Source organism: Homo sapiens, chromosome 14 (genome assembly GCF_000001405.40).
Source record: "Homo sapiens chromosome 14, GRCh38.p14 Primary Assembly".
NCBI lineage: Eukaryota > Metazoa > Chordata > Mammalia > Primates > Hominidae > Homo > Homo sapiens.
The window spans coordinates 31,151,737-31,173,882 of NC_000014.9; the positions used below are offsets into that span (position 1 = coordinate 31,151,737).

At 40.2% G+C, this 22,146-nt stretch overlaps 1 protein-coding gene across 22 annotated transcripts in view, besides 1 other annotated feature; it reads right to left on the reverse strand.

Moving 5' to 3' along the window:
• HECTD1 (HECT domain E3 ubiquitin protein ligase 1) overlaps positions 1–22,146 on the reverse strand; it is a 107,677-nt gene that overhangs the window by 51,620 nt on the left and 33,911 nt on the right. For 21 of the 22 annotated variants that reach the window (XR_001750215.3, XM_017021153.2, XM_047431208.1 and 18 more), the window contains exons 5-12: positions 21,789–22,070; positions 21,420–21,690; positions 20,310–20,386; positions 20,125–20,223; positions 17,618–17,732; positions 16,562–16,736; positions 5,429–5,567; positions 5,104–5,274 (exon numbers count right to left, since the gene is read on the reverse strand). Coding sequence is in view for 21 of the 22 variants with exons in the window: in XM_017021153.2 (XP_016876642.1) it covers positions 5,104–5,274; positions 5,429–5,567; positions 16,562–16,736; positions 17,618–17,732; positions 20,125–20,223; positions 20,310–20,386; positions 21,420–21,690; positions 21,789–22,070 (1,329 nt within the window). In the remaining variant the exon portion in view is untranslated. Of the gene's footprint in view, positions 1–5,103; positions 5,275–5,428; positions 5,568–10,856; positions 10,934–16,561; positions 16,737–17,617; positions 17,733–20,124; positions 20,224–20,309; positions 20,387–21,419; positions 21,691–21,788; positions 22,071–22,146 lie in introns of those variants that run through there. The other variant, XM_011536622.2, reaches the window with a different exon arrangement.
• Positions 14,067–14,361: a silencer, noted in NCBI's record as "tiled region #7641; K562 Repressive non-DNase unmatched - State 16:ElonW". NCBI's record gives its function as "represses a minimal TATA promoter and a strong SV40 promoter by Sharpr-MPRA in K562 cells {active_cell/tissue: K562}" and the evidence as "EXISTENCE:reporter gene assay evidence [ECO:0000049][PMID:27701403]".

Sequence of the window (22,146 nt, forward strand, 5' to 3'; positions counted from 1 at the left end):
AGCCTGTGTTCCTAAAACTTTTTTTGGACACATTTAAAAATGGAAAATATTCACATAAAAAAAGATATTAAATTATCTAAATACGTCCATCATAAACAACTAAAATATAGACAAGATATACGAAAAATGTGTTTTCAAACACTAAAGAACAGTCAATGCAGGACTATGATCCCCAAGAAAATGAAAGCAAACAAAGCGAGTCTCTTAGAACCAGAGACCATTTTCTGGCTAAGCTCATGTGGAAGGGGAACACAGATCCTAGCAGTACAAGTTAAGAAAATAGAGATCAGAGTTTGAAAAGTTTGAGGCAACTGGAATATGTGGAGGCTGAGTTCACTATTACGGAACTAAAGAGAAAAAGCCTCTCCAGAAATCTGCAAAGTAGTTTCCACTGAGTACTACACTTATATACGGGGTGATACTGCATAAGATTGGGCAAAGAACAACTGGAAAGTTATAAGAGATCATACAAGTAGCCAGACATTTGCATTCCAAACAGCCAGAGTAGAAAATCCTCATAGATCACCAGGATATTCAGTGAATTCAAAGAAATCACAAATTTGGGATCATAGGGGTGAAGTTCCCTAGAGTAAAAGCTATTCTGCCACCATGCAATGACAATTTTGTACTCTTTGTAGAGACAGAGTTTTGCCATGTTACCTAGGCTAGGCTCGAATTCGTGGGCTCAAGCGACCTGTCCGCCTCGGCCTCCCAAAGTGCTGGAGTTACAGGCATGAGCCAAGGTACCTGGCCAAAACCCAATATTCTTTACAAAAGACCACAAAGCCCAGAGCCCAACATCATCACATTTACAATATCCAGTAGCAAATCAAAACTTACTAGACAAAGAAGCACAGTGGCTCACACCTGTAATCTCAGCACTTTGGAAGGCCAAGGCAGGAGGATAACTTGAGGCCAAAAACCAACCTAGCCTTGGCAACATTGTGAGACCCGCATCTCTACAAAAATAAAATAAATATTTTTTTAATTAAACAATAAAAAAATAAAGAGGCCAGGTGCGGTGGATCACTTTGAGGTCACGAGTTCGAGACCACCCTGGCCAACATGGTAAAACCTTGTCTCTACTAAAAATACAAAACTTAGCTGAGCATGGTGGTGTGCACCTGTAATTCCAGCTACTTGGGAGGCTGAGGCAGGAGAATTGCTTGAACCCGGGAGGCAGAGGTTGCAGTGAGCCGAGATCACGCCACTGCACTCTAGCCTGGGTGACAAAGCGAGACCCTGTCTCAAAAAAGAAAAAATTAGAAAGAAGGCCAAATAATTTTCAGATACATAAAATCTGAGAGAATTATCTGGCTTGCCTTTTCTTTTTTTTCTTTTTTTTTTTTTTTTTAATAAAAATAGAGATGGGTCGGCCAGGCGTGGTGGCTCATGCCTGTAATCCCAGCACTTTGGGAGGCCAAGGCGGGCGGATCACGAGGTCAGGAGATCGAGACCATCCTGGCTAACACGGTAAAACCCTGTCTCTGCTAAAAATACAAAAAATTAGCCGGGCATTGTGGCGGGCGCCTGTAGTCCCAGCTACTCGGGAGGCTGAGGTAGGAGAATGGCTTGAATCCGGGAGGCAGAGCTAGCAGTGAGCTGAGATCACGACAGAGCGAGACTCCATCTCAAAAAAAAAAAAAAATAGAGACTGGGTCTCACCTCACCATGTTGCCCAGACTGGTCTCGAACTCCTGGGCTCAAGTAATTCTCCTACCTGAGCCTCCCCAAAGTGCTGGGATTACAGGCATGAGGCATCATGCCCAGCCGACCATTTCAACGTATTTTGAAGAGCGTAAGTGTGTAATGATGAAGTACAACTTACCAATTATTTGTTCTTTTACAGTATAACCTTTTGAAGTTTAATTTACAAAATCTTTCCCAAGTCCAAGGTCACTAAGATTTTCTCTTTTCCTCTAGAAGTGTCATAATTTTAGTGTATACATTTTAGTCTATGGTTCATTTTGTTAATTTTTGTATATGGGACCCTAACCATGTATATATATAATGTATATATATAATGCTATATATATACATGGGTAGTAAGGGTTGAGACTAAGGGAGACTCAATCTCAAAAAACAAAACAAAAAAAGAAATGATACAAATATATATATATGTGGTAAGGGTTGAGGTTTAATTATTTTGCATATGCTATTGGCTTGTTCATTTTTTGAAAAGATCATCCTTTCTTGGTGGTCTTAGCACTTTTGTTGAAAATCAATTGGCCATATGTGTAGTGGGTCATTCATCTATCTTTACACTATTGTCACACTTTCTTGATTACCAAAGTTTTATAAAAGAGTTGAAATTGATGTATATCCTTCTACGCTGCTCCTTTTCCAGGTTGCTTTGGCTATTACATTTATATACAAATGTTAGACTCTCCTTGTTTTTTTTTTTTTTGAGATGGAGTTCTGTTCTGTCAACCAGACTGGAGTGCAATGGCACGATCCGATCTCGGCTCACTGCAACCTCTGCCTCCCAGGTTCAAGCAATTCTCCTGTCTCACCCTCCCAAGTAGCTGGGATTACAGGTGTGTGCCACCACGCCCAGCTAATTTTTTTTTTCTTTTTTTGAGATGGAGTCTTGCTCTGTCGCCCAGGCTGGAGTACAGTGGCGCGATCTCAGCTCACTGCAACCTCCGCCTCCCAGGTTCAAGTGATTCTCCTGCCTCAGCCTCCGGAGTAGCTGGGACGACAGCCAAGTGCTACCATGCCTGGCTCATTTTTGTATTTTTTGTAGAGATGGGGTTTCACAATGTTGGCCAGGCTGGTTTCGAACTTCTGATCTCAGGTGATCTCCCTGCCTCGGCCTCCCAAAGTGCTGGGATTACAGGCATGAGCCACTGCACTCAGCCTAGAATCTCCTTGTCAATTTCTACAAAAAGACTGCTGGGATCTTGGTTGGGATTGCTGTAACCTATTTCTTGAGAGAGAGAGTTCCAGAAAATAAACTCGGATAATATTTTTGTTTTGTTTTTCCTTAAATCCCCCAGTAATTCTGACGATTAAACAGATTTGGGTAACACATACACACTCTCTCTTTCACCACCCTCGGGATTCTACAATTATTAACTCATATACCACCATTTTTTTCAAAAATATTACTACCCTGTTATTAACACACAGTAAGCATTCACTAAATATTAGAAATAAATCTTGCTGGGAACCACTAGACACAGAAAAGGTATATTTAAATTTGCAGTCTAAGGCAAGAGTTACCAATGAATACAGAAATTGGTGGGTTAAATTTACTGAGGAACAGCATATTTACACAGTCTGGAATTATGTCCCTACAAATTACTTATTACAAAAGGAAAAAGAGGCCAGGAGCAGTGACTCACGCCTGTAATACCGACAGTTTGGGAGGCCGAGGTGGGTGGATCACCTAGGTCAGAAGTTCGAGACTGGCCTGGCCAATATGATGAAACCCTGTCTCTACTAAAAATTCAAAAATTAGCTGGGCGTGGTGGTACGTGCCTGTAATCCCAGCTACGCCGGAGGCTGAGGCATGAGAGTCGCTTTAACCCAGAAGGTGGAGGGGGCGGTGAGCCGAGATCATGCCATTGCACTCCAGCCTCAGCAACAGAGCAAGATACCGTCTCAAAAAAAAAAAAAAAGGAAAAGAGCAACTTTACAACTTTACAGTAGAGAAACCTGGAAGAGAAAAACTTAAGCAAGTGATCCAAGTTATCATAACCAACAGGGTAAACAGACACAAATGTGCCTCCAAGAAGGAACATTATGCACCTAGAAGAGCATAGTATCACCTCTATAGGACTTTTGCTAAAACACATAAGCTGAATTTAATCACAAAGAAACATGACACAAAGTTAGGCTCTTTGTTCAAATTAACTGTTCTATTCTCTTCATAAACACCAAAGCTATGAAAATAAAAGGAAGGCTGACAGACTGCTGTAGGTTCTCAGGACAAACTATCGCAGGTTCTCAGGAATATGATAAGCAATGTAATGTGTGCTCCTGGATTTCATTGTGGACCAGAAAAAAAAATTACTATGAAGGACATTAAAGACAATGGCAAAATCTAAATATGTCTCCAGAGAATATATTAGTGTTACATAAATATTAAATTTTCTGATTAGTACGATTTTGATAATTATACTACAACTATGTCCTGGCTTTTTTCTGGTGAAATATTTAGGTTAAAAGGTAAAACTCTGTATTCACCTTACCATCAATTTTTTTTTTTTTAAGATGGAGTCTCAGGCCGGGTGCGGTGGCTCACGCCTGTAATCCCAGCACTCTGGGAGGCAGAGGCGGGCGGATCACGAGGTCAGGAGATCGAGACCATCCTGGCTAGCATGGTGAAACCCTGTCTCTATTAAAAGTACAAAAAATTAGCCAGGCATGGTGGCAGGCGTCTGCAGTCCCAGCTACTGGGGAGGCTGAGGCAGGAGAATGGCGTGAACCCAGGAGGCGGAGCTGGCAGTGAGCCGAGATCGCGCCACTGCACTCCAGCCTGGGTGACAGAGCGAGACTCTGTCTCAAAAAAAAAAAAGCTGGAGTCTCACTCTGTCGCCCAGGCTGGAATGCGGTGGTGCGATCTCGGCTCACTGCAACCTCAGCCTTTGGGAGGTCAGGGCAGGCAGATTACCTGAGGTCAGGAGTTTGAGACCAGCCTGACCAACATGGAGAAACCCCGTCTCTACTAAAAATACAAAATTAGCCAGGGAGGTGAAGGTTGCAGTGAGCTGAGATCACAACATTGCACTCCAGCCTGGACAACAAGAGCGAAACTCCATCTCAAAAAAAAAGTACACACACACACACACACACACACACACACACAAACAGATACATGTGTCTGAAAAAATGTTAAAGGAAATGGGGCAAAATGTTAATAACTAGTGAATTTGGATAGAGAGTATTCTGATATTCTTTAACTATATTTGCAACATTTCTATATGTTTAAAATTGTTGATCAAAATGTTTTAAAAGAAAATTGACCAATTTAAAAAATATACAGAATTATTTCATATTGTCATTATCCTGTCAAAAACCATCAAAAATTGAAACTAGATTTTCCTCAAAAAAAAAAAAAAAACTCTTCCTGATACCTCTATAATTAAGACCACTCACTTTTTCTGGTTTTGATTCCTCTTCATTCTCATCATCAGAGGAAGGACCTGCCAACGTTGACACTTTGCTAATTACACCAAGTCTGGCTAGCTGATCCAAAAATATATCACCACCTTTATCTACTAAATCCCTTATGATCTGCAAAGCCAGCAAGTGGCCATCATCATCATCCTGAAAAATAAAAAATAAAAATAAGTTTAGTTGCCAGGAGTAGAGAAATGCAGTAATTTGCACAACATGATTTACTGAAATTAAAACAAAAATTTTATTTCAGACTACTAGCTAAAGGAAATTAATGCTAAAGAGTTTTGAAAAAGAAACGGACCTCTTGATCCAGGACAGTTGCAGTGATTTCCACTAGTATTGTAGGCAAATTGTGACCAACATCAGAATCACAAACTTCTTTTAACAGTGCTTCAGAGCAAAAATGAATCATTTTTCGAATTAGAGCAAGACTTGCTTTCCTTGAAAAGTAAAAATAGAATTATATGAAGCCAAATGAAGTTAAAATAAATCAAAATGCATGCATTAATGAACAGTAAAATATCCAATGTTACATTTTATACACTCTGCTAAAAAAATACACTTAATAAAAAAATACAAAAAATTGGGACTCAGCACTATATGTTCATTTTTGAAATAATTCCATTTATTTTCTATTATAAATATATTGAGCTCACCAAAAATGACTTATAATTTTCTTAAATGCACTTTTCTATTCTATATTCTACACTTTACTAGCATGAATGTTAACATGTCATGATAATTTTAGAAAATCAAGTAAAAAGTACTACAACTACTAAGAAAATAAATGGGGCCCAGTGCAGCGGCTCACGCGTGTAATCCCTGCATTTTGGGAGGCTGAGGGAGGCGGATCGCTTGAGGTCAGGAGTTCAAGACTAGCTTGGCCAACATGGAGAAACCCCGTCTCTACTAAAAATACAAAAACTAGCTAGACGTGGTGGCAGGCACCTGTAATCTCAGCTACTCAGGAGCCTGAGGCGGAATAATCACTTGAACCTAGGAGATGGTGCCACTGTACTCCATCCTGGGAGACTGAAGGAGACTCCATCTCAAAACACAAAATAAAATTAAAAAAAGAAAAGAAATGATACAAATTATACCTAAAATTTCCTATAATCCAAAATACAATGCTCTAAGAACTTAAGATACTAGGTAATTTATATGAAAAACAAAATTTTGATTTAATTTGTCCTTCATCAAATTTAAAATCCACGTTCACTGCAACTATGGACTCATATAAATGAAAATAAGAGATCCTAATAATCCCATGCCCCCAAAATATTCCCATCATTAACAAATTAGTATGCCTCCTTTCCCTTTTATTCACTTACTGCTTTGCTTAGACCGTAGCAGACACTCAATAAAGTCACATAAATTAACCTCAATTTTTTTTTTTTTTTTTTTTTTTTGGAGACAGAGTCTCGCTCTGTTGTCTCGGCTGGAGTGTAGTGGCACAATCTCGGCTCACTGCAACCTCCGCCTCCCGGGTTCACGCCATTCTCCTGCCTCAGCCTCCCGAGTAGCTGGGACTACAGGCGCACACCGCCACGCTCAGCTTTTTGTATTTTTTGTATTTTTAGTAAAGATGGGGTTTCACTGTGTTAGCCAAGATGGTCTTGATCTCCTGACCTCGTGATCCGCCTGCCTCTGCCTCCCAGAGTGCTGGGATTACAGGCGTGAGCCACCACGCCCGGCCAAATTAACCTCAACTTTATAACATGTAACCTGATCTTTTAAAATAAAAAACACATATTCACATACATTTAAATGATAATAAACTACTAATAAGATGAGGCTTGGCTGGGTGAGGTGGTTCACACCTGTAATCCCAGCACTTTGGGAGGCTGAGGCAGGTGGATCACCTGAGGTCAGGAGTTCGAGACCAGCCTGACCAATATGGTGAAACCCCGTCTCTACTAAAAATACAAAAATTAGCCGGGCATGGTGGTGGGCATCTGTAGTCCCAGCTACTCAGGAGGCTGAGACAGAAGAATTGCTTGAACCCTAGAGGCAGAGGTTGCAGCAGGCCAAGATCGTGCCACTGCACTCCAGCCTGGACGACAGAGCCAGACTCTGTCTTAAACAAAAACAAACAAACAAAAAAAAGGCTTGTCTATTATGTAAGAGCCAATAATCAATTCATTTAACAAATATTTTCTAAGTATCTAACAATGTTCTAGGCACTAAGCTGCAGATATCATTACCCTTGAGGTGAATGATAGAAGGATAAAGAGGCAAAATTTTCAACTGATGTCCTAGAGAGGCATGTGACACAGCTGTATTTCTACAGCATAGGGTCTCTACATATTTTATAACTCTCTCTAGCTGAAGTTATAACATTATATTTCTTTAATGAAGGAATATGCTTTATTACAAATTCAAGTACAGTACAGAAAATGATAGGTGGACAGAGGACAAACTGTTCTAACAGGATTGGTTCTTTCCAGTTTTTGTTTTGTTGTTTTTAATTTAATTTAATTTATTTATTTTTTTTGGGACAGAGACTCGCTCTGTCACCCAGGCTGGAGTGCAGTGGTGTGATCTCGGCTCACTGCAACCTCCACCTCCTGGGTTCAAGTGATTCTCCTGTCTCAGTCTCCAGAGTAGTTGTGATTACAGGTGTGCACCACCACACCCAGCTAATTTTTGTAGTTTTAGTAGAGACGGAGTTTCATCATGTTGGCCAGGCTGATCTTGAACTCCTGACCTCAGGTGATCTGCCTGCCTCAGCCTCCAAAGCGCTGGGATTACAGGCGTGAGCCACCGCACCTGGCCATAATTTTTTTTTTTTTTTTGAGACAGGGTCTTGCTCTGTCCCCCAGGCTGGAGTGCGTGGCAGGATTTTGACTCACTGCAACCTCCGACTCCCAGGTTCAAGTGATTCTCGTGCCTCAGCCTCCCAAATAGCTCGGACTACAGGCTCCTGCCACCGTGCCCAGCTAATTTTTCTATTTTTTGTAGAGACAGGGTTTTACCACGTTGCCCAGGCTGGTCTCGAAATCCTGTGCTCAGGAGATCCACCCTACTCGGCCTCCCGAAGTGCTGGGATTACAGCCATGAGTCACTGTGCCTGGCGCCGGTTTTTATTACTGGCCCCAGTTTTTATTTATATTCCACTGTAAATACCAGAATTTAACTATTAGTTTTATATCATGACTTATTTCAATTAACAATGTATTAGAATGTTTATATGTTATTTATCTATCTCTCTCTCGTATACTGAGCCATCATGAGCAGTAACCTTTTTATGTACTTTAAAAACATAATTCATTTAACCCACACAACAAAACCTATGAGGTGGGTTTTATTATCTCAAATTTACAAGTGAAGATACTGAGCGATAGTTAAGTCAGTCTACTAAGATCACCAAGCTAATAAATTACAGAGCCTGTATTCAAATTCTATCTCTTAATTAGATGATACATAATACTCACAACATAAAATTTTCCTGTTTAACACTATTATATAAATTTTGAACATTTAGTTTACAGTCTTTTCTATTAAAAATAGCACTATTTATTTTTGTGTAAACAGTTTCTTCATATTCCTTCAGTACAGAGGGATTCTTGGATCTAACAGCCTAAACACTTTCATTAAGTATTGAATGTGTATGAGTACTGCATTCATATTGGCAAACTGATTCAAAAAAGGTTGTTAACACCTTAAATTATCACTAAATATGAATATCTACAATATTCCTTTTTACTTAAAAAAAATTCTCATTTTTTAAGTTTCTTAACTGTCTAATAGGTAAAAATGATACCAAATTTTACTTATTTCTAAAATGTTTTGCTTTTTACTAGTAAGGAAATACTTTTTTTTTTTGAGACAGCATCTCACTTTGTCATCTAGACTGGAGTGCAGCAGCACAATCTCAGCTCACTGCAGCCTCGACCGCCCAGGCTCAAACAATCCTCCCACCTCAGCCTCTCGAGTAGCCAGGACTACAGGTATGCGCCACCATACTCAGCTAATTTTTGTGTGTTTTGTAGAGACAGGGTTTCACTAGTTGCCCAGGCTGGTCTCAAACTCCTGGACTCAAGCAATCCTCCCACCTCAGCCTCCCAAAGTGCTGGGATTACATGCATGAGCTAACACACCCAGCTAGGAAATACATTTTTCCATATTAATTTTTTGCCGTGTTTCCTCTTGAACACTGTGCCTTAATTTCATTGACTAATTTACTCAAATGGCTCTGAAATTTTTACGATCAATTTGTAAATACCCTTTGTATATAATAAAGACAGTATCCCTTTGTCATATTTGCTAACAAATACCCACCTGCTGGCAAATTTTTTTAGATTAAAAGTTTCTATTCTGAGACATTTGTGGCTGCAGGTAATATTGTTTCTGTTATGTAGTAGTTTTATGTTTTTTACATAAAATAAATTTAAAAGGACACATTTGGCTAATGCAAATAGGTTTCTAAAGTAAGCCAGGCATAGTGGCTCACGCCTGTAATCCCGCAGTTTGGGAGGTCAAGGCAGGGGAACTGCTTAAGCCCGGGAGTTCAAGACCAGCCTTGGGCAGCAAAGCAAAACTATCTCTAAAAATAAAAATTAGCTGGACCTGGTGGTGTGTGCCTGCAGTTCTAGCTACTCAAGAGGCTGAGGCAAGAGGATACACTGTGCCATGGAATTCAAGGTTGCAGTGAGCTGTGATCATACTATGCACTCCAGTCTGGGTGACACAGCAACACCCCGTCTCAAAAAAAAAGAAAAAAAAAAAGAAAAAAAAGAAAGAAAGAAAGGAAAAAGAAAAACAAAAAGCCAGGCTGGGTGTGGTGGATCACGCCTGTAATCCCAGCACTTTGGGAGGCCAAGGCAGGCAGATCACCCGAGATGAGGAGTTCGAGACCAGCCCAGCCAACATGGCAAAACCCCATTTTTACTAAAAACACAAAAAAATTAGCCGGGCATGGTGGTGTGTGCCTGTAATCCCAGCTACTCAGGAGCTGAGATGGCGCCACTTCACTCCAGCCTGTGCAACAGAGCAGGACTCTGTCTCAAAAAAAAAAAGAAAAAGAAAAAGCCATTCTTCCTATCAAGGTCTGATAAACATTCAAGTATATTTTCTTTTGCTCAGAGGTTCTGGAGGGGCTCACACCTGTAATTCCAACACTTTGGGAGGCTGAGAAGGGTGGATCACATGAGGCCAGGAGTTCAAGACCAGCCTGGCCAATATGGTGAAACCCTGTCTCTACTAACAAAATACAAAAATTAGCTGGGCATGGTGGTGCATGTCCTTAATCCCAGCTCCTCGGGAGGCTGAGGCACGAGAATCGCTTGAACCTGGGAGTCAGAGGTTTGCAGTGAGCCAAGATCATGCTACTGCACTCCAACCTGAGTGACAGAGCAAGACTGTCTCAAAAAAAAAAAAAAAAGTTTTGGAGGATAGGGAAAAAAAGTATCTTATCTTTTTGTTTTCCTAATATTTTAGTTTTTAAGTCTTAGAATTTGTTTAGATTTAAAATATAAGATAAAAGATTAGGGTGATTTTTAAAATCAAACTACAAAGCAGATACTCCAGTACCACTTAATAAATAGTACCCCCTCCCCTGAATGATCTGAGAAACATCCATTATAATACATTCAATACCTATATATAACTGGCTCTATTGGGGGGACTATTTTATTCCATTGATTTACACACTACTCTGCTAGTTATCATAAAAATTTCATTGCTAAAGGGTTACACTAACATTTCAGATTTTTCTTTAATAATCTCACCTATTTATTCTTCCAGATGAACTTTGGGATCTGTCAAGTTCTAAAACAAATTCTGTAGTTATTTCCTTTAGAACTGCATAACCTACAAATTAATTTTAGAAGAATTTATGTCTTTAGATTATTTAATGTTTTCACCCAAGAACAATTTCCCACTATATCCCACCAAGTCTACTTTTTTCTCTCAAATTGTTTTAAAAAAAAAATTGGGCCAGTCGCAGTGGCTCACACCTGTAAACCTAGCACTTTGGGAGGATCACTAGAGCTTAAGAGTTCAAGACCAGTCTGGGCAACATAGTAAGACCTTGTTTACACACAAAAAAATAAAAAAATTAGTCAGGTGTGGTGGTGCTCGCCTGTAGTATCAGCAACTTGGGAGGCTAGAGAACTGCTTGAGCCCAGGAGGCTGAGGCTGCAGTGAGCTGAGATCACGCCACTGCACTCCAGCCTGAGCAGCAGGGTAAGATCCTGACACACACACACACACACGCACACACACACACACGCACACATGCGCACACACACACACGGAAAGCAAGAAAAGAAAACCAGACCACACACGGTGGCTCACGCCTGTAAACCCAACACTTTGGGAGGCTGACGTCGGAAGATCGCTTGAGCCCAGGAGTTTGAGACCAGTCTGGGCAACACAGCAAGACTTCATCTCTACAAAAAAAAAAAAACTATTTTAATTAGCCAGGTGTTTAGCCAGGCATGGTGGCATGCATCTGTAGTCTCAGCTACTTGGGAGACTAAGGTGAGAGGATCACTTGAGCCTGGGAGGCAGAGCCTGCAGTGAGCCAAGATTGTGCCACTGCACTCTAGCCTAGGTGACAGAGTGAGCCCCTTTCCTCCCCCAAAGAATTAGCTGGGCGTGGTGGTGCACAACTGTGGTCGCAAGTGGTTGGGAGGCTGAGTTGGGAAAATCCCTTGAGCCCAGGAGTTTGAAGTTGCCGTAAGCTATGAGCACTCCACTATACTCCAGCCTGTGCGACAGTGAGACCCTGTAGCTAAAACCTTTTTTTTTAATTTTTAAAGGGCCAGGCGCAGTGGCTCACTCCTGTAATCCCAGCACTTTAGGAGGCAGAGGCAGGCGGATCACTTGAGGTCAGGAGTTTAAGGCCAGGCTGGCCAACATGGCAAAACCCCGTCTCTACTAAAACTACAAAAATTAGCCGGGCATGGTGGTGCGTGCCTGTAATCCCTGTAAACCCCTGGGAGGCTGAGGCAGGATAATCACTTGAACCCAGGAGGCGGAGGCTGCAGTAAGCCAAGATCACGCCACTTCACTGCAGCCTGGGTGACAGAGCAAGACTCTGTCTCAAAAAAAAAATTTTTTTTTCAAAAGGTCCTCATAAAGATCTAGTTTGCTGCAAAGGAGACTCAATCTTTGTCCAGTTATTTATACTAACTCCTAAGATGTTTACTTATCAGACCTGTTCAAAATTCTATGTAGCTTTCTTCTAAAACAAAGTGGAGAAGTACTCAGTCTAATTATCTTACAGAGAAAATAACCAGGCTTTTACAAACTACTCCACCACTGATACTACCAATCTCTGTTTTGAAGCCTTCACTGATCTGCTGTCTGCCTTTTATTTCCTGAACAGATACTGTGCACAGGCCTACACAGGTAATAGCTAATGTCAATATACATGGACACTCTTAACTGTCTGAATCAGTGTTATGTTTACTTATCTGATAAAACTTCAAAAAAACTGGTAAAATATCAGGTTGTAACCAATCCACCTTGTTTTTTCGAGACAGGGTCACATTATGTTGCCTAAGCTGGTCTCAAGCGATCCTACTACCTCAGCTTCCCAAGTAGCTGGGACCAGAAACGTGCCACCGTGTGCTCCCCCTTGTTTTTAATAATGCTAAATAATTCCAAAAAATAAACTATCACTTTTCAAATACCTCTAACATTGTAGACACTATGCTACACACATATTTAATTTTTATTCTCACTCCTAAAGAGGATTAAGTATAACTATCCTCACCTTGGAGACGAGCCAATTGATTAAGAGGTTATGTGCTTTGCCCATGGCCAAACATATAGGAAAGTGCAATGAGTTGATTCCAGAGTATGAGTTCTTAAACTAAGACATATATTATTTTCCTAGCTACAATTAAATGTGTCTGCTAATAACTACCTGGGAAAATTTAGCATCAAATTTTCTAACACTAATATCTCCAAACATTTAAAATGATAAAAGAAAATAACCATCCAATAAGGGAACTCTGTTACATGGTAGCATACTTTATAATTTTCTGATGGCCTTATCATGAAGCACTTATACTCCAGAATGATTCTTGCACTGGCATAACAGATGGTCCTCTAAAATTTTCAGACCAAATTATCTTGTTCAAAACTGAACTTGCTCATTTAAGATGATTCAAGTCTTGTGTAATTAAAAAAAAAAAAAAAAGTGACCCCACTAACACCTACACCTCTGTAGCTATTTGGGGAAGAATTAAAAACCAAGCTATTAAATGTTCACAGTGAATTATTTTGCGGCCAGTTCTCTCCTATTTAAAGCAGACTGCTTGTATTTTAATGTCAGCTCATAATACTGGTATTTGAGGTACTTGAATCTTATAAAACTGCCTGCTCTACAGACCTCCTGAACTGAAAACGACCAAAATCAGATTCCTACTCAGCCAAAAACCTGCAGTCATCTTTCACCCTTTCTTCCTTCAATCCACCATCTAACTGGTCACCAATCCCTATACAACCCATCTGCCAAACTCTTAAATTTGTTCTCACTAATCCAGTTGCCCTGAAGTTCCTATCTCAATCAACACTTGTCTGTTTCTATTCTCTCCTTCCTCCAGTTCTTCTCTCTGCCAGGGTGTCAAAGTGATCTTGATCAACAGAAATCCAGATGTGTCAAATTTTCCTTACAGGTCTTTAATAATCCTTCTTAAATGTGAGGTAGAGTCCACGCTCTTTCACATGGCCTACAAAAGCCATCATAGGTTATAAAAAGCTCCTCTCTACTTTCTTAACATTATTCTCGGAGCTTTCCAAATGTATCCTGTACTCCATTAATATTGAAATACTTGCAACTGCTAACAAAACACACTCATTCAATCATTCAGTAAATATCTACTGAGGACCTAAGGATCAGGCCCTATTCTGTATCTCCTTGCCTTTGTAGGAATATAGCAGTACATAAGACCAGCTCTCGTGGTGCTTACTTTAAAGAGACAAGACAATAAAACAAACAAAACCCCCCAAAAACCAGTATTTCAGAGAGTGAAACCTTTTTTTTTTTAGATGGAGTCTTGCTCTGTTGCCTAGGCTGGAATGCAGTGGCGCAATCTTGGCTCACTGCAACCTCCGCCTCATGGGTTCAAGCAATTCTCCTGACTCACCCTCCCGAGTAGCTGGGACTACAGCCAAGTGCTACCATACCCAGCTAATTTTTTTATTTTTCATAGAGACAGGGTTTCGCCACGTTAGCCAGGCTGGTCTCAAACTCCTGGCCTCAAGTGATCCACCTGCCTCGGCCTCCCAAAGTGCTGGGATAACAGGCGTGAGCCACCGCACCCAGCCAAGATAGCATAAGCTTTGTAAAGTCAGTAAAACATTATTGATATAAAAAGTGTAACGGGGTAAATTTAAATCAGGGAGACAGACTTCAATGGATGTAACATTTGAACTGAGAGGTGAATGGTATGAAGCAAACACCCATTCAGAAGATCTAGGGACAGAAAGTTTCAAGCAGATGACAAACAAGTACAAAAGCCCTAAGGCAAGGATGTACTTGGAGGGTTCCACAACAGAAAGAAGGCTAGCGTAAGTGTAATGGGCCAAATGTTAGGTAGTACTCTGTTGGAGAGCTGGGTTGGGATTATGTAAGAACTTGCAAGCCTAAGGGTTAAGGAGCTGAGTTTTTGTTAAAGCCAATTAGAAGCTATGAAGGGTTCAAACTAGGCAGTCGTGTGATATAATTACGATTTAAAGATATAATTCTCAAGCCAAGTGCGGTAGCTCATGCCTGTAATTCCAGCACTTCAGGAAGCTGAGGCCAGAGGATTGCTTGAGCCCTGGAGTTAAAGACCAGCCTGGGCAAGATGGCCAGACCTCATCTCCACAAAAAAATGAAAACATTAGCTGGTGTGGTAGTGCATGCCTGTAGTCCTAGATACTCAGCAGGCTGAGGTGGGAGGATTCCTTGAGCCCAGGAGTTCAAGTATGCAGTAAGCTGTGATTGTGCCACTGCACTCCAGCCTGGACAAGAGAGCAAGACTTTGTCTCTAAAAAAAATTTTTAAAAAAATGTATATAATTCTCAGGACAGGTGCATGCAGAAGCTCACACTTACAATCCCAACACTTTGGGAGGCCAAAGCAGAAAAATCCCTTGAGGCTAAGAGTTCAAGACCAGCCTGGGCAACAGAGCAACACCATGTCTCTACAAAAAATTTAAGAATTAGCCAGGCAAGGCGGTATACATCTGTAGTCCTAGCTACTTGAGAGGCTGAGGTGGGGGATCGCTGGAGCCCAGGAGTTCAAGGTTACAGTGAGCTATGATTGTGCCACTACACTCCAACTTGGGTGACAGAGCAAGACCTGTCTCTAAAAATAAATATGGTCAGGTGTAGTGGCCCATGTCTGTAATCCCAGCACTTGGGAGGCTGAGGTGGGCGATCACTTGAGCCCAGGAGTTTGAGACCAGCCTGGGCAACGTGGTGCATCCCCATCTACACTAAAAGTACAATCTGGTCATGGTGGCATACTTGTAGTCTCAGCTATTCGGGAGGCTAAGGTGGGAGAATCACTGGAGCCCAGGAAGTCAAGGCTGCAGTGATCCAGCCACTGCACTCCAGCCCAGGTGACAGCGATACCCTGTCTCAAAAATTAGTTAATTAAAAATATATATACACGCACACATCTACATATATAATTCAGCCTAATATGTACAAACATTGTAAAGGAGCAAGAGAGAAAAAGCAGAATGATTAACTAAGGAGGCTACTGCAGTGGTCAAACCCTTTGGTAGTTTGGATCAGAGTACTGACTAGCAAAAGATGAAAAGAAATAGCAAGCTATGGATACACTGTAGAGGGAGAGCCACAAGGAGTTCCTGATGGATGGATTCATACCTTCATGCATTTGCACATACTGTTCTTCACTCATGCTTCCAAATCTGTCTGCCTAGAAAACTCCTAAGTATCCTTTAAACCACAATTTAAATCTCACCTCTGCATAAAACTGTCTCCAATCTGCCCAGCCCAATTAGTTGTTAAATTATCTATATTCCCAGAGAACCCTGAATATGTGCCTAATCTACCATTTACCACTCTATGTTTTACCCACATACATCCTTACTAGCCCGCAAGGGGAAGAGTAAGCAAGAGCCAAATCTCATTTATCTGTATAACTCCTCCAGTGGCCATCTCATACCGTCCCTACCAACAGGCTTCTAAAAAGCTCAATAAGTGGTTGCAATACTTATCAAACAGAGATTTAATATTCAGAGAGCTACCTAAAATTTGTTAAGAATCTAGTAATCTTTTCTAAAACTTCTCTTCGTTCAGATCGTCAGAAGAAAAGATAGGGCTTTCCCACTTCTCATCTAAATTTTATTCTTACCACACCTTTTTAACATTAAAATAAACCTCAAATACTTCTGGAAAAGGGAGATAAATAAAACCATATAATTGGTGTAATTTGACTAACACATCAAATAGTATGAATAACTACCTTATTGAAGGCAGCATAGTTTGCTGAAATGTTTGTGCAAACACTGGCAATAACCTTTTCAAGTATATGGGTGCCATTTCCGGATCTCCTTTGGGCTCATTACATTCTTCTTCATCTTTGTTTGTATCTTTCTTTTTCTTATCATCTCCTTTATTAACTGGACACATCCAATCACCTACAGACAAATATTTTTTAAAGAAATACTTTTTTGGAAACTTTTGCTTTCAAGGAAAAAAACCTTAAGATATATCCAACTTCAAATAATAATTATCTCTAATTAACAAATACACTGAAATTAGAACATTGTTTCAATGATGCTTATAAGAATACTAAAGAGCACTAGTAACTTCAATGTGCTCAATAACAAATTAAGAAGATAATTTTGGATACTCCACTTCGTTCCAAAAATTATTTCACAGAGCTTCTGGATTCATCAACCCTCTGAAAACTTAAAACTTTGGTCAGCCGGGAGCAGTGGCTCACGCCTGTAATCCCAGCACTTTGGGAGGCCGAGACGGGCGGATCACGAGGTCAGGAGATCGAGACCATCCTGGCTAACACGGTGAAACCCCGTCTCTACTAAAAATACAAAAAAAATTAGCTGGGCACGGTGGCGGGTGCCTGTAGTCCCAGCTACTAGGGAGGCTGAGGCAGAAGAATGACGTAAACCCGGGAGGCGGAGCTTGCAGTGAGCCGAGATAGCGCCATTGCACTCCAGCCTGGGCGACAGAGCAAGATTCCACCTCAAAAAAAAAAAAAAATTTTTTTTGGTCAAACTACCTATCTAAACAATACCAAAGTATTCTTTATCTGACATTCCCATATTCCTTGAACTTTAGATTTTGGTTATTCTGGAATCAGGCAGTCACAATCTCAAAGAACATAGAAAATTAAGCTGTTAAACAGGTTTATTAAATATAAGGATATACATATATAATTATTTGACTTCATAGGAATAGTTCATTTATATAAGGTTAATGTGTCTACAGAAAGCTATGGAAGTGAAAGCTGAAAAATAACAGTAGATGGCTTCAAAAGAAAGAATGTAGCTCTCACCTGGAGACTGAAGAATAGCTACCACTTCACTATGGCCCCTTTCTCGAGCTTTATCTAATGGAGTTTTCCCATCTTCATCTCTCAGATCTGGATTTGCACCATGCCGTAACAGAGTCTAGAGAAGAAAAGCATTTAATTTGAATATAACAATACTTTATTTCTTTGACATCCAACTATGTAAACTAAAGATTTTCCAGAATTACTTAATCAAGCAGGTGGCAATCCATATCTCTGCCTTTGCACTTAGTACCTTAAAAGCAGCCTATTCTGTAATCTCAGCACTTTGGGAGGCCGAGGTGGGTGGGTCACCTGAGGACGGAAGTTCAAGGCCAGCCTGACCAACCTGGAGAAACCCCGTCTCTACTAAAAATACAAAATTAGCCGGGTGTGGTGGCGCATGCCTGTAATCCCAGCTACTTGGGAGGCTGAGGCAGGAGAATCGCTTGAACCCAGGAGGCAGAGGTTACAGTGAGCCAAGATCGCTTGAACCATTGCACTCCAGCCTGGTCTACAAGAGTGAAACTCCATCTCAAAAAACAATACAAAGCAGCCTATCGTAACTTGAAAAACTTATGAATTAATTGTACTTGGTTATTTATCATCATCTCAAATTAAGTATATTCCATCTTAACATGTCACCTTCTCCATCAAACTCTGCCTCCCAATTTCTTTAAAGAGAGGTACTGTTTAATTTATGATCTGGCAATCAATGACATCGCCTCCTATATACTGCCAATTACCAAGTTAAGTCAAATTAAATTTTAGACCAAAAAGTCAACCAGGTGTGGTAGCTCACGCCTATAATCCCAGCACTTTGGGAGGCTACACCGGAGGATCACTGGAGGCCAGGAGTTCAAGATCAGCCTAGGCAACATGGTGAGAGCTCGTCTCTACAAATAATACATAAATAACAAAATAAAAATAAAAATTAGCCAGTATGGTGGCACACGCCTATAGTTCTATAGTGACTCCGGAGGCTGAGGCAGGAGGATCACTTGAGCCCAGGAATTCAAGGTTACATGAGCTATCATTGTACCACTGCACTCCAGCCTGTGAGACAGAGCAATACCCTATTTCAAAAATAAAAAGTCATCAATATATCCACCTCTATACCCACTAACACCTTAAACCTTTCATAATTTCATACCCAGACTAATTAATCACAATGGCTCAATAAAAACTTTTTTGCTAACAGCTGACTTTAAAAGTACTTGAAAGGGAAACTCTAAAACCTTCTTTGCTCACTCAGTATTAGTCACCCTTAGAAGCATCATTCTCTCTAAAAACTAACCAATTCAAACAAATAGAATTCAGGCTTGAAGAGACCATCCTTCACAGGCTAGAAAGCTACGAACCTGTTATTGAAAATGTTGTTGTAGTGTAAAGATGACAATAATAGCAGCTACCATTTGAGCACCTGCAATATGCTGATTACTACAGTAAATCTATACAATATATTTTTCTAATTCTCACAATAATCTTGCTAAGAATATATACTTATTTTATAGACAAACTTAATAAATTGTCCAAGATCATATAGCCTTTTTTGTGCATAAGCTGAGACTCGAATCCAGGCATGCACAACTTCAGAGTGGACTAACCTCGTACTATACCAAATAACTTCACGATTGGCAGATTACAGACACCTAGTTCATACATTTGATGTAAACCTTTCCATTTAACCTCTTTGGACCTCAATTTCTCTAACTGTAAAAATAACTCCCCAAAGTCCTTTGCTAGTCTGAGTCTAGTGATTCTTCTACAAACAGAGTATTTGGCTGGGTGCAGTGGCTCACACCTATAATCCCAGCACTTTGGGAGGACAAAGCAGGTGGATCACTTGAGGCTAGGAGTTTGAGACCAGCCTGGCCAACATGGCAAAACCCTGTCTCTACTATAAGTACAAAAACTAGCCAAGCATGATGGCACACGCCTATAATCCCAGCCACTTGGGAGGCTGAGGCACGAGATCGTTTGAACACAGGAATTCAAGGCTGCAGTGAGTCGCTACTGTGCCACTGCCCTCCAGCCTGGGTGACAGAGCAAAACCCTGTCTCAAAAAAAAAAGAAAAGGAATATTTTATTGATGAATACAAACAAGAGAAAATATAGGCAAAGTTATTCATTGCCAAGAGTAACAAATTGGAAACAATCACACGTTCAACACTAGGTGACTAGTTGAATAAACTTGTAGTACAGGATATGCATACAGATATAAAAAAGTTCTCTACATGCTAACAGGGAGAGATCTCTAATTTATATTATTAAGTAAAAAAACAAAGTACAGGTGAGTGTATAAGAAAAGGAGGGAACACATATATATATATTTGTTTTTATTGAATCTGTATTAGGAAACACTAAAAAGAAAAAACTAATTAAAAACACTTACAGTGAGTAAGGGGGAATGAAGTGGATGGAGATGGCATGGAAATAAAAGGTTTTATATCATTCTAATTTTTAAACCATGTAAATGTTAAAAATTAGTAATTTTAAAACCTAGACTTTACCTTTGCTACTTGAGGTCTTCCAAAACATGCAGCATAATGTAATGATGATGACCTTTGACCTCTATTAACATCTGCACCTCTCTCACAAAGAAATTCTACCTGTAAAATGATAACGAATCATAAAGCTGCTTTTTATTAATATTTCTATCCTTAATTTAAATACCAGCTTTTATTTATTAGCTTACCATTTCCTGAGTTCCAAAAGCAGAGGCCCAGTTTAATAGAGTCTGACCTACATCATCCATAAAATTTACTTCAAAGGCTGAAATTTTGAAGGAAAAAAAAAGAAACGTATTTTTAAAGCCAATAAAATACTAAACTTTTCTAAAGACTGAACCATTTTAAGATCGTCATTAGTCATCATCTAAATAAAGAGCCAAGAGAGTGTTTTAAATATTTAGGTCAACTATAGAGCAGTACATAATCAGCAAACTTGAGATCAGCTAAGAAAAAGTATTTAAGTCCAGGCACCGTGGCTCACGCCTGTAATCCCAGCACTCTGGGAGGCCGAGGTGGGAGGAGGTCAGGAGTTTGAGACCAGCATGGCCAACATGGTGAAACCCCATCCCTACTAAAAACACAAAAATTAGGCGGGTGTGGTGGCACATGCCTGTAATCCCAACTACTTGGGAGGCTGAGACAGGAGAATCGCTCAAACCCAGGAGGCAGAGGACGCAGTGAGCCAAGATTGTACCACTGCACTCCAGCCCGCACAACAGAGCGAGACTCTGTCCCCCTACTAAAAAAAGAAAAAACATTTGAAAATGTTTAAACCACTGGAGATTCACAAGGCTTTAAGTCTTAAAAATAAACATGAAATAACAAAGGAAAATACTAAATACACAACTAAATAAGGTAGTAGTTGCTAAAAGAGGCTAATCCACATCCATAATCCAAAGAACACAGAAGAACAAATCTGATGACCCAGAAGCATCTTTCAGGAATTATATTTGCTCATCACCTCATGTAGCAGTCAAAAAAAATCTGCATTATTATAATTCATTCACATCAGTTCCTATCAATCTTGAGAAAACCTTAGAATTTATAAGATCTCCTTCAGGTAATAAAACAGAAATTTCAAACTTTATAGAAGTTTTACCCATTCAACAAGCATTTATTCAGGTTTCACCAAGAACCAAGCTGATAATTACATAATTATGCACAGGGATAGGGGAGAATATCGAAGGGGTGCCACTTTGTTATCTGGATTTCTAAGAGTACTGTCCGAAAACTAGAAACTGCCTATATGGTTATCTCACAACTTTCTTTTTATATTTAAAAAAATATTTTCTGACCTCCTGTGTCAATTGCATCTATAAGTGCATCGGTATCTTTACTTCGAATACAATCTATAAGCTGCCGATGTGAGCGCTCCCCAGAACTATCTAATCTCCGGAGTCCTGGGATTCTGCCTGTAGATCCAGCACTAGACTTTGGCAAAGCTTTTCGTCCTTCAAATAATAGCACCAAGAGAAGGTCAACCAAACGCATAGTATCAAGCACACATCTTTCATCACCCTGCAATGCACTTTCAATTGAATCTGGAAGCTCCGACCTCAGAAGATCCTAGAAAGAGAATGGGAAGAAAGATGTTTAATATATTAGCATTATACAAAAACACTTTTTCTGAAGATTAAAAAGCAAAGATTCAAAAACATTCTTACATGTGTTACTACCGGAGAGCCTCTGCAAAGTGTTGAGAGCAGACTTACAATTGTTGACACCTGATTACTCAATTTGGAATCTGCAGTGGTGGATGGAGCTCCTGTGGTGCTGCGACCTGGTTTGCATGCTGATGATGGTCCTGAAACAGTACCACCAGCAGCAGCCATTCGAGATAACAGCTCCTCAGTTAATCCATGCTTGGCTAATGGAGCTGGGTCAACACCACGACGGGTAAATCGGTCAGCCAGTGATGCAAAGCATCGCAGAGCTCCATCTGAAACCTAACAATGTGAAGAAAATGCCCACAGATAAAATCCACCTAAAAAGGGTTAGTAATGATCATTTCAATACTGACAC